General features: G+C 37.6%; 1 protein-coding gene across 9 annotated transcripts in view; it reads left to right on the plus strand.

The window, feature by feature from the left end:
• KCNQ5 (potassium voltage-gated channel subfamily Q member 5) overlaps nucleotides 1-17,678 on the plus strand; it is a 576,790-nt gene that overhangs the window by 483,658 nt on the left and 75,454 nt on the right. For all 9 annotated transcript variants that reach the window (NM_001160133.2, NM_019842.4, NM_001160134.2 and 6 more), the window contains 2 exons: nucleotides 5,587-5,682; nucleotides 14,762-14,856. In NM_001160133.2, coding sequence (NP_001153605.1) covers nucleotides 5,587-5,682; nucleotides 14,762-14,856 — 191 coding nt within the window. The remainder of the gene's footprint in view (nucleotides 1-5,586; nucleotides 5,683-14,761; nucleotides 14,857-17,678) is intronic.

Here is a 17,678-nt window from a genome sequence, read left to right on the forward strand (position 1 = left end):
TGCTACTTAAGAGACAGATGTGCACAATGGAGTATTTTTCTCTTCAGATCCATTTGAGTGAAAAGCATATGACCTTAAAGGGTGTTAAACATGTCAGATGATTTATTCATTGTGTCATCATCATTGATTTTTTTAATGAGCAGTTTCTGTATCTTATCAGAATAAAGGGCACATTTATCTGCCCCCAAGCTTCTGATTATTTTCTCCTTAGTGAATGAAGCCTGCCTTTCTCATACTTTTATTCTCTTGTGTCTTTAAAGGCAGCTGTTCAAAATATTACAGTTTGCCCCCATTTCCAAGTTCTTGCTTTTGTTCGCTCCATCTGGGGTAGGGAAGGAGGAGCCAATAAAAAGGAGGGTTAACGCGGTGGGAGCAGAAGTGCTTAAGGAAAATAGATCCAGTCTTGCTCCAGACACAGCTCAAGCTGTGCCAACCAGAGACCCCAGAGCACCTCTCCAAAGCTCTTTTAGGTGGTAGGGCTTCTCCTCTGCCTATTAATAAGTGCAGAGAACACCCTTGTCCCACCAGTGCCCAACTTGAGATTCACCAGATCGTTCTGCCCCAGAACACTCAAAATCACAGAAAAGAGACTGAAAAGGCCATGCATATGCTTGGGTACTAGACCTCAGTTTGAATACATCTTTGTCACATACTAACTATATGACTGCTTTAGTTTACTAGGGCTGCCTTAACAAGTACCACAGACTGGGTGACTTAAACAATAGAAAGGTATTGTCTCACAGTTCCCAAGACTGGACGTCCAAAATCAAAGCATTGAGAAACCACGAGAGCCATGAGAGAAAGAACTGTTCCAGGCCTCTCTTCTTGGCTTATAGATGGCTCTTCTTCCTGTGTCTTCACATCATCTGTGTCCAAATTTCTACTTCCTAGAAGAACACCAGTCATATTTGATTAGGGTCCATCCTAATGACCTCGTTTTAACTTGATTACCTCTGTAAGGACCCTATTTTCAAACAAGGTCACATTCTGAGGTCATGGGGATTAGGACTTCAACATATGAATTTTGGAAGGACGCAATTCAGCCTGAACAGTGACCCTGAATAAGTTTCTTTTTTAATAGAATGGAGGAAGAATTATTGAGCCCAGAGAAATTTTGTGCGGACCAATGTAATAATGTAAGTCAAGTGCTTGTCATGAAGAGAACTCTCAATAAATGTTACTTCCCTTTGCCTGTATGAATCTAGAAATACATGTTTCCTGGAACAAAATGATGAAATCCAGGAGAATTAAAAAAAAAAAAATCTTACGTATCCAAGGCAACTTCATCTGGCAATCTCAACAATTCAGAACAGAGAAGAGATTCACTCAATAATCAGATTCCCTACAGGAAAATACCTTTAGAAACAATACAACGCAGTCTTGGGTTTTTTCCCAAAATAATGGCACAAAATAATTGCAGCTTTTGTGTTTATATTTATCCTGAGGCCACATGTAGAGCAACCTCTATGATTCAGTGAAAAACTATGAACAAGGAGGTAGGCAACCTCTGGGCTGTTGAAATAGACAACAGGCTATGTTCTGTCCTCATAGGAGAGCCACTTGAGACCTAATTCATAACCTAGTCTTCATTCAGAGAAAATTCTGATAAACTCACCTATATGGTTTCACAATTCTTTGAAGATTATAAACAACAAATATAGAGGAAGATGATAGAACAAACACTGCAACAGAAAGAAATGGTAAAAGACTAACAGCAAAGAAGGGAAAAGGAAATCTGTGAGTAGCAAGCAGACATCAGTGTTCAAAATGTGTATCCTGTCAGTAAAAATAAAATTAAATTAAAAGGGAAAACAAAATGTATGAAGATCTAGGGCCAATTAGTGTTAGGGTCAACAAACCTCTGGAAGTTGGCTGCACCCAGCACAGCAAAAAGGCAGTCCCCATAATGAAACTCTAAACTATCACAGGGAGGTTAAATATGTCACTAGGTTAAGTTAAAGGTCAGAGACTAAGTAGTCATTCTTGGAAATGTTTCCAATAAAGTAAGTATGAAATTTTTATATGCAAATTAAATTAACCTATGTTGGAAATCTGAAAATTTTGCTTTCACAGAAAATTACATTTCTTAAGAACCCCAAGAAAAGTAACCTCTACTAAGGATCTTTTACTGAAACTTCACAATATTTTCTGAGTCCTTATTTATTAAATGAAAGACTGAATGGTCCATATATACCTTTAGAAAAAAACAAGATTGCCAGAGATTTTATTATATCCTGTGTATCTGCCAACCAAAAGAGTTGTCTGATTGAAATTTAGGAAGACACATTGACATTTTGCTGAGAAAGCTAGAGGTGGATTGTGGGCTGCCCCTATGTAGGGTTCCTCCCACCCAGGACACCTGAGAACCAAGAAAGAAAAGAGCCTTTCTCCATCTTACCCTCAAAGCAGAAGGGCCATCCTGCACATCACAGAGTCATACAAGCCACCCATCCAAAGCGCCACTGTGGGGTCACTTCCCCTGGTGCCCGCTCCATCTCTGGGCTAATGAGCTCACAGAAGAAGCCCCAGCTCCCCTGTGTTACCCTGATATGCAGGTCTTTCTCCTTTTTAGAGTGCTCCCTTGTCTTCTGCTAGATATTCCTGCTAAGAGTATTTTCATTGATGAAGAAATTGAGTTTTATAGAGACTGAATTCCTTGAGACCTCCAGCTAGTAAATTCAGTGCAAGAACTAGTGCTGTTTGACTCACGATATTAACCATTCCATTAAAAATATTGGCCACTGTAATCCTTAACAATATTAACTAAATGTAATTATTGCATATAATAACATGTTAAAAACCGTTTAAAAAAACAGGGCATCTTGCTGGGCGTGGTGATTCACGCCTGTAATCCCAGCACTTTGGGAGGCCGAGGCGGTCGGATCACAAGGTGAGGAGATCGAGACCATCCTGCCTAACATGGTGAAACCATATATCTACTAAAAAATACAAAAAATCAGCCAGGCGTGGTGGCGGGCACCTGTAATCCCAGCTACTCGGGAGGCTGAGGCAGGAGAATGATGTAAACCCAGGAGGCGGAACTTGCAGTGAGCCGAGATCGCTCCACTGCACTCCAGCCTGGGCAACAGAGCAAGACTCCATCTCAAAAAAAATAAAAAATAAAAAAAATAGGATGTCTTTCAGCATTGCCTATTTGCTATGTGTGGGTTACAAATTAGGTTCATTTAATCCAGAAGATAATGAAGGGTAAATTTCTTTACATTTATTGGTGTCAGTATTTGAAGGGATGACATATATGTTCAAAGCTTAAGCCATGTTTTATGTGTGTATATACAAATATAATAGACCTTATTTTCACAGACTTCTGTTTAGGTGCACCAAGCTGTGTACTAAGAGAGAGGTGGAAAAAAATTGGAAAGGAGCCATGATGAGACAATAAGCAGACCTGGTTTAATAACTGCTGTAATGTACAGTCTGGCACAAGAAATACGTAGTGAACATTTACCATTCACTAATATATGTTTCCGAGCAATGCCAATGTGATTTTCAGCACATTTTAGATTGTTTGGCAGATGATAAATTTGTGCTATGTAGGGCCTGTCTTTATTTTCCAAAGGGGATTAAACTCCGAACCTCACATCCACATCATAAGTGCTCAAAATGGTAGCTAGTGCTGTTAATTCAATGTCTGCAAAATCTAAATTATGCTCCATACAAGTGGATTATACACATATATGCACATAAATGCATGTATATATACTACATATTATAAATATATGCCAGAAATTTTGGTATTTCATATTCTCTTACATGTCTACACTTTATGAAAAGTAGTATTAAAGGGAAAATAAAGAAATCTTTCCTAAATGATCTTACACAGCAGAAAAAAATTAGAAGTTACAAATGACTTAAGTTGTTCTGGATTTAGAAATGGAGGGGCATTTTTATAACACCTAAATGGAGGGAAATGTTGTTTAAATCTATAAACCAGATCACAGAGACCAGGTTTTTATAAAGCTTAGTTTGTACAATCACAACCTGTATGAGATAGAGATCTTAGACAGCGTAAGACAGTCACTGAAAAGGAGAGATGGAAAACAGAACCTATGATGTAATTTCTAATTTCATAGTACAGTCATTTATACTAATTAATAATGGAGTAGATCATTGCTCACGAATAGCAAATAGTATTATCAGACCACTGCGTATTTTAAACATGATTGCATTACTTATTGTCTGGTTATTGTCACTGATGTACTCAGAAGTGTGGAATCTCAAGATAAGAAGGAAGGTTAAAGGTTATCTAGAGCCCAAAAATATCTCAGCCAAGTTGTTATTCAGTTGAGACTTAACACCTTCTAGAAATGAAAAACCCACCACCTCTCCAGACAGCCTATAGCATCTTTGAACCATCTTTGAGCTACTCTAAAAATAAAAAGAAAAGAAAAGCAACCATTCCTTACCTGTAGCAAATACTGACTTAGTGCTTATAAAATGTCCATCTCTAACCAAAGGGTTAGACTCCTTGAAGTTTAATAAAAAACTAATAATTTATAGCTAGCAAGTAAAATCCACAGACTTGAAAGCAGCAGAGCTCCCAGCCCCATGCTAATAAACTCAAGAGTTAAAGACAAAGCCCAGAGACTGAATTTAGCAAGCTCCAAAAGCCAACCCAAGGCTGAGACAAAGCATCTTGTTTTTACAAATGTTAGTAGACCAGAGCAAATTGAAAAGAGTGGGGGACATCAAAGAACCAGAATTTTGGCAGATCAAGATGATAAGCAGAAGAAAAGCAAACTGGCCCAAAACTAATGTAAACCTAGAAGGGAATACTAATCTTACTAATCCCAAAAACTGAATAGGTGAGCCAAAATAAAAAAGGCAAGGAATGGTAAAAGTGTGAATTAAAATGGGAATGTGCTTTGCAATGATCCACGTTCTTGTCTCTAGTGTACAAATGGGCAAAATAGAAAACCTTCTACTCTATATCTTCAAAACTGAGTATCCCTGCTCTCCATTTTACTTTTCTTTTAGTAGGTGTACAGTTATAACATTATAAAGAACTACAGCTGGGACAGATTTTATACAGTCCTCTCTCCTCCATTTCATGAATAGAGAATCTAACTTTCAGAGTCTCATCAAAGTGCTAGAAGTATTCCCATGTTCACAGCAGTGAGACTTTAACTCCCTCAGATTTAAAATCCAGCTCTGTCCCAAGTTGAAATTCATGTTCTCTACATTCCATCACTGGATGAGACCATTCAATCTAACTTAGGCAAAAAGAAATGTCACAGAGAAGGCCACACACACACAAAAAAATTTTATTGTGATTTTATTTATAATCATGGTGCCTATGCTATACCACAAAAGATAATAAATGACAATGCCTAATTGACTTACTAAAGAACAGAAGTTGTATCTCCTGGCAGTATTGCCCAACAATTTGCCATTGGCTATTGGTATTATAATGGAGATAAATACTGCTTATTTTAATAAGTAACATGTTTATGGACAGGTTACATACCGTTTGTCTTCTCTCAGACTCATTTTAGTGACTTTTTAATATTTGTATTATTTAACAGTGCTTTTGAAATTTTTGAGTGCCATTTTTGTATTTTGTTCCAGGGCATTCTTGGCTCAGGTTTTGCATTAAAAGTACAAGAACAACACCGCCAGAAACACTTTGAGAAAAGAAGGAACCCAGCTGCCAACCTCATTCAGGTAAATGTCAATGTAATAGGTAGATGGCAACATTTGTGTCCATAGTGCTTGATGGGTCATTTTCCAATCTCTGTGCTTCATTGCTTGGTAGAACTACTGCTTTGTTCCTTTTTATAAAATGAAGTCAGAACTTAATGTACAGTCTTGGATTTGGACAGTCTTGGATTTGTTCCTCCTCTCCCAAACTGAAACACATGTATTTTTAGCAAATGGTCCATGCATTGTTCAGACTAAGTAACCATGTCAGCAAGGCCATGCAAAGGTTAGCAGTTGTGTGGCTCGTGGAATTATCTAATATGTCTTATGAATTACTTGATGAAACGTAATTGATCATTAAGTGATGGAGCAGAACAGGGCATTGTTCCCTGCATTCCAATTACTTTCTCCAGCCAGATGTATGTTGCTGTTTTAAAGAACAACATATTTGTTTAGAATGTCAAGGTTTAATACCTGTGAAATTGCTTTTAGTGCCATCTAGGGCAGTTAGCGGAAATAGCTATCCTATTTTGAGAGCTGATGGGACTATGGAATACATCAGTGTTTGAGAATATTAAACAATAAGTATATAATTTGAAGCTAGCTCCTAATACATAGGTTGTTATTTAGTATTTCATTTTCTTTTCACTAACTCAGGATTAGCTTCAGCACTAAAAGGAATGCTTCTCCTTTTGCCATCCATATATTTTCCATCCTAGATCCAGGTTAAGAATCACAAAATATATTTTTTGTTAGATTCATAATGTAGAGTTGACATTTAGTTATGGACAAAATAATTCTACAATCTAAAGTTTCTCCCCTCCTGCTAGGGAAGTGGAAGCTACCGAATTTCTAAACTGGAGGGTCTTGAAGTGGTGCTCCAAGGCCCTAGGAAACTTGCCTTAAAGCTGCAGTAACGGGCACACTGTTTTGTTGCTGTTGTTGTTTTGTTTTATTTTTTGTTTGTTTTGTTTTTTTTTTTTTGAGACAGAGTCCCGCTTTGTCGCCCAGGCTGGAGTGCAGTGGTGCGATCTCGGCTCACTGCAAGCTCCGCCTCCTGGGTTCACGCCATTCTCCTGCCTCAGCCTCCCGAGTAGCTGGGACTACAGGCACCCGCCACCGCGCCCGGCTAATTTTTTGTATTTTTAGTAGAGACAGGGTTTCACCGTGTTAGCCAGGATGGTCTCCATCTCTCAACCTCGTGATCCGCCCACCTCGGCCTCCCAAAGTGCTGGGATTACAGGCATGAGCCACGGCTCCCGGCCACAAGCACACTGTTTTAATTTAGATTGTAGGTTTGGGTGGGTGGGTTGGTGGGAGATAACCACCACAACCCCTACCTTTAGTGTTTATCTGTGACTGTGATATATGCAGTGCCTCCCACAGACATGGAGCTGGGGAAAGAAGGGGGCAGTATGGTTCAGTTATATCATGAAGGAGATCTGTTTATATCTAATCATTAAATGAGGATATTAATTTTTAAATCAAGCTATTCTGCAACTGTTGACAAGAAAGTAGACCATCAGGCATGACTTCCAGTGCAAATCACTGAGAATCTCTATTTTTTTACATTATTTTTTACAATTTTTTTTTTTTACATATTCTTTACAGGTTTTAAAAGGTCACTAAAGAGAAAGTAAACTCTATTTTCTTATATGAAGTTGGAGTTTAAGATCTGATGCCAAACAATAATCAGCAGAATGAAAAGAGGAGTCACACACTTTAGGACACACGCAAAATACCCCAAGGTCCAGAATTCATAGGCTTTCATCCTTTAGCACTCCTTAACTGGTTACACATGTTCCAATACTTCTAATAAGTTTTTCTCTTTACTGTTCTTATCCTTTAATTTTCCTTCACTCTAGAACAACGTTTTCCAACCTGTGAGTGCAGAAGTTATTGCATGGGTTCCTTTCATCCGTCTGAGCACCAAGCTCTGTCTACATATGGAACCAATAATACATTTTACACAATAAAACCTCTTGGAATATCAGCTGTTTTGTTAGAAAGTGAGCTCTTTGAGGAATTTCTCATGCACATATCAATTGTGATGATACAAAGCTGTGCCGCTCAATACAGTAACCACTAGCTACATGTAGCTTTTTACATTTAAATTAATTAAAATTAAAAACCAAGTTTGCCAATGGCACTAGCCACTTCTCAAGTGTTCAATAGCTACAGGTGGCTATCGGCTGCCATACCATACAAAAGAAATATAGAGAATAACTGCAGGAAATCTCCTGATCTAACTTGTCATTATTGACTACTAAACTGTGCAACAATAATTTCCAATTGAACTTGAAAATAAATTGTTATTTCTACAGCAAATCATTGGAGCAGAGGCATTTATATGTCTACAGTCAAAATGAGGCAAGGCCTCCCTCACAGGTAACCCTGTGGAGGACAGGCTAATTGAACAGTTTTACCTGGAGGCCTAGAATTTTATTTTATGGAACTGGGTTATGTAACATATATTGTGATCAGTAATTGAACTTGTACAAATGCAGGTAACAATGAAGTAAAATCGTGAGTTTTTATTTTACTTAAAACTCCAACTTAAATGTTGTTCTTAACAAAAATAATGCAAAATGGAATGCTTGAAGCATTCAAGAGTACTTTTAAAATCTAATCATAGTTTCATTAATCAAAGTAGAATCTACTAATTTTAAAAGCAAGTGCTCCTTCATTTAAATGCAATTAATTTATTACACATAGAAATAATAATATAATTATTAATTTGTTCATTGTTCTTCCTTGCTATAGTCTTTAGACAGAATTCAAGGCTTTAAGCCTTGATTATATATTATAGAAATTTATATTTCAGGATGTAATAGATTGAAAAGCAAACTTCATTTAATCATCCTTTCACCTTCTTACCCAATAAACCTGACTTGGTCTGCTGAACACACAAACCATCAAGCCCAAAAGCGTCTCATTTATTTTAGGCCAGAGTCACTATCTTCTTAAAAGGGCAACTGAGATGCCCAAATTGCTTCATCATTTGGTTGGTGAGAGAACTAAATTAACCAACATTTCAGGGTTTTAGGAAAAAAATTTAAAACCCCAGAAGCTTGCAGCAAATTTAGCTGTGTCAATATCTTTGCATGATTCTTTTAAATTTGCTTTTCATTTCAAGCTGGAGCAGTCTGGAAAAAGAAATTAGCTCTCAGTAATGTTTTGAATACCTGCCCAAATGTCACAACTTTTATTAATAATGCTTAAGACTCATGAAGTGCTTTTTAGTTTGCAGGGTGCTTCTAATACATTATGTTACTTGATCCTCGAGACAAGCCTAGGAGGAGCTAGGACTCAAATCCCTGCTGTCTGAATCTGAATCCATTACCCCTTTCAAAAAGCAGCATTTACATCCTCATAAATATATGCTTTATTAGAAACAGAAACAGGGAATTAAGTAAAAGTTTGTGAAATAAATGTTGGTAGGGATAGATTAGAAGATGTTGCTTTGATGCCAACTGACCCAAAAGAAAAATATATATATTTGTCTTGAAACTTTGGCTTCCCCTAGTAAAATGACTTAGTCTCCACCCAATTACCCTAAAGCGAAGCCACTAGTCATTAAGCTCAAGCCACTTATATAGAGATTTTACATCTTTTTAGTGCTCCAGTCATAAATAAAAACAGTGCCAGGTGTGGTGACTCATGCCCGTAATCCCAGCATTTTGAGAGGGCAAGGTGGGAGGATTGCTTGAGTTCAAGATCAGTCTGGGCAATATAGTGAGACCACATTTCTTTAATAAATAAATAAATAAGAACAGACTCAGAAAAAAAAATCTTAGATGTGAAAAACATGAAGGCAGGAAAAAAAACAGAAGGTAAGATAAAGTTGTGAAAATTTCCCTGAAACTAGAATAAACAGAGATTGAAAATAAAGCAAAAAAGATAAGAAACATGAAGTGTCCATCCAGGCATTCCAATATCCAGCTAATAAAGATGTCTCAGCTCAAGTGCAGGGAAACTAAGAGGAAGATTTTATCAAAGAAATACAACATTATGATTCTCCAGAACAGGAGGACAGGAGTGGCCACAGTAGAAGAGCTCACCAAGTGTCCAGCACTGTGAACCAAAAACTTCACACCAAGATTATCACAGTAAAATATCAGAAAACTTACCAAAAGGGGATCCTAAATGCTTTCTGAGCAGGACAGAGCCAAAGGAACAAGAATAAGGATGACATAGGATTTCTCATTAGTAATCCAAAAATTAGAAGACAATGAAACAATACTTTCGAAATTATAGAAATTATTTTCAACCTAGAACTCTATATCCAGCCAAACCACCATCAAGTGTGAGAGCAGCACCAAGGCACTTTTAGGCATGCAAGATCTCAAAAATTAATCTACCATTTACCTTTACTCAAGAAACTTTGTAAATAGAACTTCTCTTCCACAACAAGGGGATAAGCCAAGAGAGAAAGAGACATGGAGTCAAGAAAACAAGAGATTCCGCACAGGAAAGAGCAAAGGGGATTTCTATGATAATAGGGAAGGGAAGTCCCAAGACAACAGCTATGCAGGCCTTGAGAACAGAATGAGAAGGAGGCTGAGAGCTCCAGGAGAAAGATCTTCAAGGAAGCGAAAGAATGGAGTTCTCAGATTTCATGATGCATTTGACCAGAGGAATTTTATAGTTCTGTTGGAAAGATCTGGAATGTAATCATAACAGGTACATATATGCAAATCAAGAAATTAAAATAGGGCAATTATAACTCCAAAAAAACCAAAAACTTGTATAAGAAAGAAAGAGCAGCCATAGTACATCACATTGCTGAACTGGGAACAGCAGTTACATTGTCATAATAATATTAAATAGTAACTTAGCTAAGAATTGTGATATTAAAATGTTGATAGGATGAAAGGAGGGGAAGAGGGCATGTAAGTGGGCAATATCATTATCGTTCAGGATAGGAAGTTAATTGATAATGTCTAAAATTGAAAAATCAAGAAATATAACTATAAGCATAATCCTTAAAAATAAGCATTCTTGGCTGGACGCAAGTGGCTCATGCCTGCAACCCCCGCACTTTGAGAGGCTAAGGTGGGAGGATCACTTGAGGCCAGGAGTTCAAGACCAACCTGTGCAACATAGCGAGACCCCACCTCTACAAAAAAATTTTAAAAAGTCAAGTGCAATGGCACACACCTGTAGTCCTCACACACCTGTAGCTACTCAGGAGGCTGAAGCCAGAGGATTGGTTGAGCCTGGGAGTTTGAAGCTGCTGTGAGCTATAATTGTACCACTGCACTCCAGCCTGGGTGATAGAGTATGACCCTGTCTCAAAAATAATAATAATAATAAATAAGGATTCTTAAAAATAGAAGCAACAACTATAAGAATTGAAGGGGTTGCCTCTGAGGAACAGAAAGTAGTGTGAAGAAAGATGTGGAAAGGGATTGCTGGTTCATAGCCTAAAACTTTCAGGACTTTCACATTTTAAACTCTGTACCTTGAAAAAATAAGCTCTGTGTTCATTATTCCTTTGGATGGTCAGCTGAAACCTTCTAAACCATTTCCAGTAAGGATCAAACATGCCATAATGGTAATACTTGCAAGACAAACAAAATACTCCCAAAAAAACTGAATTATACTGGCCTTGTACTTATTGAGCAAAGTCCAAATCTCTTTGACTGCCTAGAGCACCAGCATCACCTGATAAATGGCAAAGTTGGCTCTCATTTTGCTTCTTGTTGATTTGTCCTTTGAATTGTATACACCATGTAAATTAACCATAGGAAATCCCTCTAAGTGTTATTTTTCTCTTGCCAACTACTGTGTGATTTTGGCTTTAAATATAGGAACATCAGCTACTGGATCACAGGGATGTGGGTTCAAAGTTCAGCTACTAGAAACAATTTGCTAAGAGAGACCTAAGAACAAAATAAAGTTATTAGAGTGTAACGGGCATAGAGTTCCACTTTCCACCTTCATTTTTACTGTTAACTAATATCAGCCATGTGACAGATGCCACCTGCACCTTCCATACCTCTCATTTAAAAGGCATTTTTGGGAGATGAGTAATGAAGGGAACAAGAGCTTAGCTGTTGGGATCAATTTGAGAGAAAAATAGCAAGACATCAGGTCTCATTGTAAAGAAAATCTTTAATTTTCTCAGAGTGGCCTCTTTTGCCCCCAGTTCTTTATAACATTCACAGGCAATGCCTTGGTCCCATTCTTTTGTTGTTCTGTTGTTTTGGATTTTTTCACTGGTATCTAATAATGTGCAGACCTGCCATATGCTTCTAGTTCTACAGGAGTCTTGCTTTCAATGTATCAAAAATCATATATGTGTGACATCTTCTATGGAAATTGTTTAATTAAGGCAGCCGTCTGTGTCATCACAACATTAGAGGATCTCTGGGCATCACTACTACAGAAGAAGCTGCAATCCTAAATCCATGTGTTTTCCTTAATTATTCTAAATCACTCTATAAATTGTGCAGGTATAATATTTGCAAAGATTAACATTTCAAGATGATGCAACAATAGTTGCATTATATAAGATGTCAAGATACTTAGCACAAATTTCCACAGATTTGTAGATTAAATCAGCATGAGCCATGTAATGAAGGCAAGGAACTTTGGTTCAATCATTTAAACCTTCCTCAAAAATATAAAAAGTCCCTCAGTTTCTACCACTATATTTTTCTAGTTTTTTTATGTCACTTTCTGAAATTTCATTGAAGTACAATGTGCATGCAGAAAAGAGCACATATCTTAGGAGAACTGAGCACACCTGCATAACCAGCACTCAGATAAACAGAGCAGGACCTCCTGTGTACCCCTTCGCAATCACTATCCCATAAGGATAACCACTGTGCTACCTTCTAACAGCGTAGAATAGTTTTCCCTGGTTTTTGTACGTTATGGAAATGTACTCCTTGGTGTCTTCTTTTTCTCACTCAACGTTATTCACATGAAGTTCATCCATGTTGTTGTGTGTAGCTATATGTACTATTGCCATATAGTATTGTACTATGTAAATGGTGTCACAAATTTTCTGTTTATTCTACTGTTTCTGGGTATTTTGGAATTTCCAGCTTTAGTTTATTAGAAACCAACATATAGTACATATCTTTTAATGAACATATATAAGCATATATTTTGAAAATATACCTAGGAGTGTGTAGTTGTATCATAGGATACTTAAATGTTCAGCTTTCATAGAAACTTCCAGTTTTCCCAAGTAGTTGTGTGAATTTTTAACTTTTATTTAGCATACATTTATTCAATGATATTCTCAGGAAAAGGAATATTGTTAGATCACATTTTCTTCATTATGGATTTCACAATCATGACTGATGTGTTATGTACTAGGGATGTGGCCCATTTAAATGAATTGGTCTGCCAGGCATGGTGGCTCATGCCTGTAATCCCAGCACTTTGGGAGGCCGAGGTGGCAGATCACCTGAGGTGAGGAGTTCAAGATCAGCCTGGCCAACATAGTGAAACCCTGTCTCTACTAAAAATACAAAAATTAGCTGGATGTGGTGGTGCGTGCCTGTAGTCCCAGCTACTCAGGAGGCTGAGGCACGAGCATCGCTTGAACCCAGAAGGCAGAGGTGGCAGACAGCCAAGATTGTGCCACTGCACTCCAGCCTGGGGGACAGAGGGAGACCCTGTCTCAAATAAATAAATAATAAATAAATAGGTTTGTCACATAAAATAAAATGTTTTGATTAATCTACTATAATAAAAAAGTTTTCTCTGAGGGGACTGGAGTAAATACCTGGCCATTAGAGATGTTTGCAGACTCATTAAAAAGAAAGAAATTTACCAAAATCTATATGGGAAAGTAAGGTCGGGCAATCTCTCAAATGAGCAGTTCAGATGGAAGCTTTTCCAATAACAGTCTTCAAGCAGTCAGCAAGTCTCCGTGGAGGGATTCTATGACTGACAGCCAGGCAATCTGAGATATTGTCTCAACTCCACCAACTTTGTATAAACCTCTTCATTTATCTGAGCCCTTTTTTTCTCACCTACAAAACAGGAATCTTAATTCACACTTTGATGGTGAGGATCACATAAAAATACTTTGTCTTATGTATGCCAGGTGTAATTATATGAAATGGAGAGAGTTGATGTTTTACATCAAAGAGCTATAAACATATTCTTAGATCATGGCATAAATCCGTAGGTGTTTTGCAGCTATACACCTAGAGAGTACATTTTCCCCATCCTGTTTTAGTTCTGCTTCTTGATATCACTATCTTCATTTTTAGCATTAGAAGTATTACATAGTTCAAGGATTTCATTAATTCAATCACTAGCATACCCTGGTGTTCATTAGTTAACTAGTTAGCTTACTAGTTGCATAATGGATTTTCATTAGTCCTTTGCTTCTCCCTTATCAAATATTGATTAAAGATCAATCTCTAGAATGTATGCTCATGCTCAAGTCGCTCACCTAACTACTATCTTGGATATTAGCATTTAACCAGTCAATCATTACTTTTTGTTTTGGATAATATAGTATCTTTCCCTTACCAATTCAAAAATTACATTATATTGCACTTTTTGGGCCTTTTGCTTCTTGGTATGTTGTTTTGAAAAGAAGCTCTGGCCAGGCACAGTGGTTCATACCTGTAATCCCAGCACTTTGGGAGGCCAAGGCAGGCGGATCACTTGAGGTCAGGAATTTGAGACCAGCCTGGCCAGCATGGTGAAACTCCATCTCTACTAAAAGTACAAAAAAAAAAAAAATAGCCAGGCATGGTGGTGGGCACCTGTAGTCCCAGCTACTCTAGAGGCTGAGGCACAAGAATCACTTGAACCCAGAAGGCAGAGATTGCAATGAGCTGAGATCGCACCACTGCACTCCAGCCTGGGCAACAGAGTGAGAGTCCATCTCAAAATAAATAAATAATAAAATAAAATAAAATAAAAGAAGTTCTGATGTGGTGCAATATGTTTAACAGCCAGCTGAAAATGCCAAAGTAGCCTTCTTCCTCCTTTGGGTATTTATCAGGGCTAAGTATAAGAGGCAAAAGATTCTTCATGTGTAGTAACTTAATCATTTCTCTTTTTATTTTATTCTAAATCCTGCTCTCTTTTTTCTTTTTCATGTCCCCATCTATGCCACATGCAGTGTGTTTGGCGTAGTTACGCAGCTGATGAGAAATCTGTTTCCATTGCAACCTGGAAGCCACACTTGAAGGCCTTGCACACCTGCAGCCCTACCAAGTAGGTATCAGTGTGACAGCTGCCACTGTAGTTGAGTCTTTTCAAGTCTGTTAAACAAACCATACCCACACACACAAAAAAAGGTGTTAATGTTTGGCTTCTCTTATTCTCTGTTGCTCCTAAAGAGATTCAAACCTATTTAGTAGCAGTTCTGGCACAAAACTAAATGGAATCAGTATCATTCCTCACAATCCACAGACTGGGGTTAAAGATTAAAATAATGTAAATTTTATAGAGATTTATTTTTACTATTTCATGCTTACTTTCTAATGTCTCATTTCGTAAAGCCCACCAGCATCCTAAAGGTAAGCACCACAGTTCTTGAAAAACAAGGATTATTTATTTTGCACCCATCGCCTGACCCCAAGAGATGAGTGCTTAGAGAGTAATCCATCTTTGTACGTTTAGATCTCTCAAAGCCATTTCTCATCTGGATCCTCTCTGGATGGTCCTCAAGCTTTTACTTGCAGATCAAACTCACATCAGTGGCAAAAAAAGAGAAAAATAGGAGTCCTAATAGGATTATAGTTTACAATGAGGCAATGGGACCCAGCGGATTAAAATTTGGAATTTGCATTCACAATTTTAAAGTAAGACTACTTTTCTTCACATTTCATTGGCCAAAGTAAATCACTCAGCCATGCCTAAACTCAAAGAAAATGGGGAAGTACAATTTTACCTTTTACCATGTGCCTAGAAGCAGGCAAGAACCAAGGACATTATGGACAGTCCTAATGATTACCACAGAGATCTGTAATTAAAAAAAAAAAAAAGGGCTTAGTCTTGGAGTCTTGGAAACCTGGACTCCAGTTCAACTATCACAGAAAATGTTAAATCATATTCACCACCTAATTAAAGAAGTCCTCATTGAAATACCGAAGCAGTAAGTCATGAGAAAGGCTTTCTGTGAGTCACCCAGCTTGATTAGCGTAGTCAGTTCCTCAGGTTGTTCAAAAGTTATTAAATTGCTCATCCGACATTTGAGAGCACCAGCTGCTTTTCTTCATAGCCCAACAAAACCTTAATCCTAGTGGCTTCATGGGATTCAGGACACCTAACTACTGTGACTCACAAAAAACCACCTGTTCTTACTGATCTTGGGAGATATCAGCTGAGGAAACCTCCATGACATTCCCTGGCAGTACCGTCTTAATGGAGGTTTGTGATGCAGCAGAATGCATACCATTGGGAAGCACCAGATCCATCATTAACTACATTACTTCCCTGTTCTGCCCTTGGCCTCAGTTTTCCCACCCACAAAGAGAAGGACAAGAGTTGGGCAAGATGATTCCTAAGCTCTAATGGGAAATGCCTCCTGGTGGGTGGTATCTAAAATTCTTGTCAGCACCTAGGACAGAGATATTCATAGCACTCCAGGGATTTCAGAGAGGATGGAACCTTAGCATGGATAGAAGCATGGATGCTGTTGAATGCATGTTTGGATTAAAATCCTCTTTTCATTTAGATCTTGAAGTTTAGTTGAACTTTTTATGGAGTTTAAGACCCTTTCAACATTTTGATATTAAAAAACCGAAAATAGAACCTAACTCCTGTGCCATTTATTCCTTGGGAGTATGAACCAAAAATAAAAATTATATAGAAATTGTATTTCTTGTCTTCATGAAGTTTGCTAGGTAAATGTAAAAAGGGAATCTGAGTAGGAAAACTGATAGAGAATTCTCAAGTGACAGAGGAGAGTGGTCTATTATCATATGTGATTATTTGGCTTCCCACTTACTGCAGTTTTTGGATTAAAAGTCATTAAAAGCCTGGAAAAACTGTTTAATAATGAGTCAAATTCCCCCAGTAAATCAACTATTATTTTATTCACATAAGTTCTTTCTACTCCTCTGATATTTTCCCTGTCTTAAGTGGGGGTGGAGGTGGAGGAGGATTTATGCAAACACCTGTGTTCCTCATGTCCTACTGTGCCTTTCCCTCACTTTCCTTTTCCTGCAAACTCATGAACCATGGGGCTCAGCTCCATTGAATGAAGAACAGTTATTTGTCCAGAATGACACAGCAGTCACTGGTAAAGTTCATGGGAAACTAGATGTCCTAACATCTCTCCCCTTCCAGTGATGCTTCATTGCTTCAAAATGCAGAGGTTCTTAATCCTTGTTGATGTTTTTTGTTAAACCATTGAGAATGTGATGGAAATTATGGGGTCTTTCCCAAGAAAGATAATCAATGCACGAGAAAATCAATACTTTGCCTACAATTTTAATGTATTCACAGAGTCCCTGAAGCCAAGTTCAAACTTTTGTTTTACAAAGCAAACTTGCTTTAATCAAGTGACAATAATTTTCAGTGACTTAGAGGGATCTTTTTACATTTAAGTGGCTTACCGAATGGAGAGTGTTGTAGTAAGAAACAGACTACAATTACTATTTTATTTACATTGTGTATTTTCCTTTAGCATTCAGCCTAAGAACTTCTGATGGGAAAGATCATTTATTCAGTCATGTATGCATTCAACAATTACTCATTGAGCACCTATGATGTGCAAGGCATAGTTCTAGGCACTGAGAATGAAGCAGTTGGAGTAAAAAAAAAAAAAAAGTTAGAATCTCTGGCCTTGGGAAGTATGTATTCAAGGGATGTTGGGATAGACAATATAAATAAATAAATATAGGATATGTTAGATGGCATTAAGTGCTAAGGAGAAAAGTAAAATAAAGAAGGAATTTAGGGAGCATCAGAGGCTATAATTTCAAATAGGTGGCCAGGGGGAAGATCAATTTATCAACAATATCATCATCATCATCATCAATGTTACTGTTATCATTAAAAAACACCAGCCCCATGCTCTTGTTCCCCAG

Source organism: Homo sapiens, chromosome 6, assembly GCF_000001405.40.
Source record: "Homo sapiens chromosome 6, GRCh38.p14 Primary Assembly".
Lineage (NCBI taxonomy): Eukaryota > Metazoa > Chordata > Mammalia > Primates > Hominidae > Homo > Homo sapiens.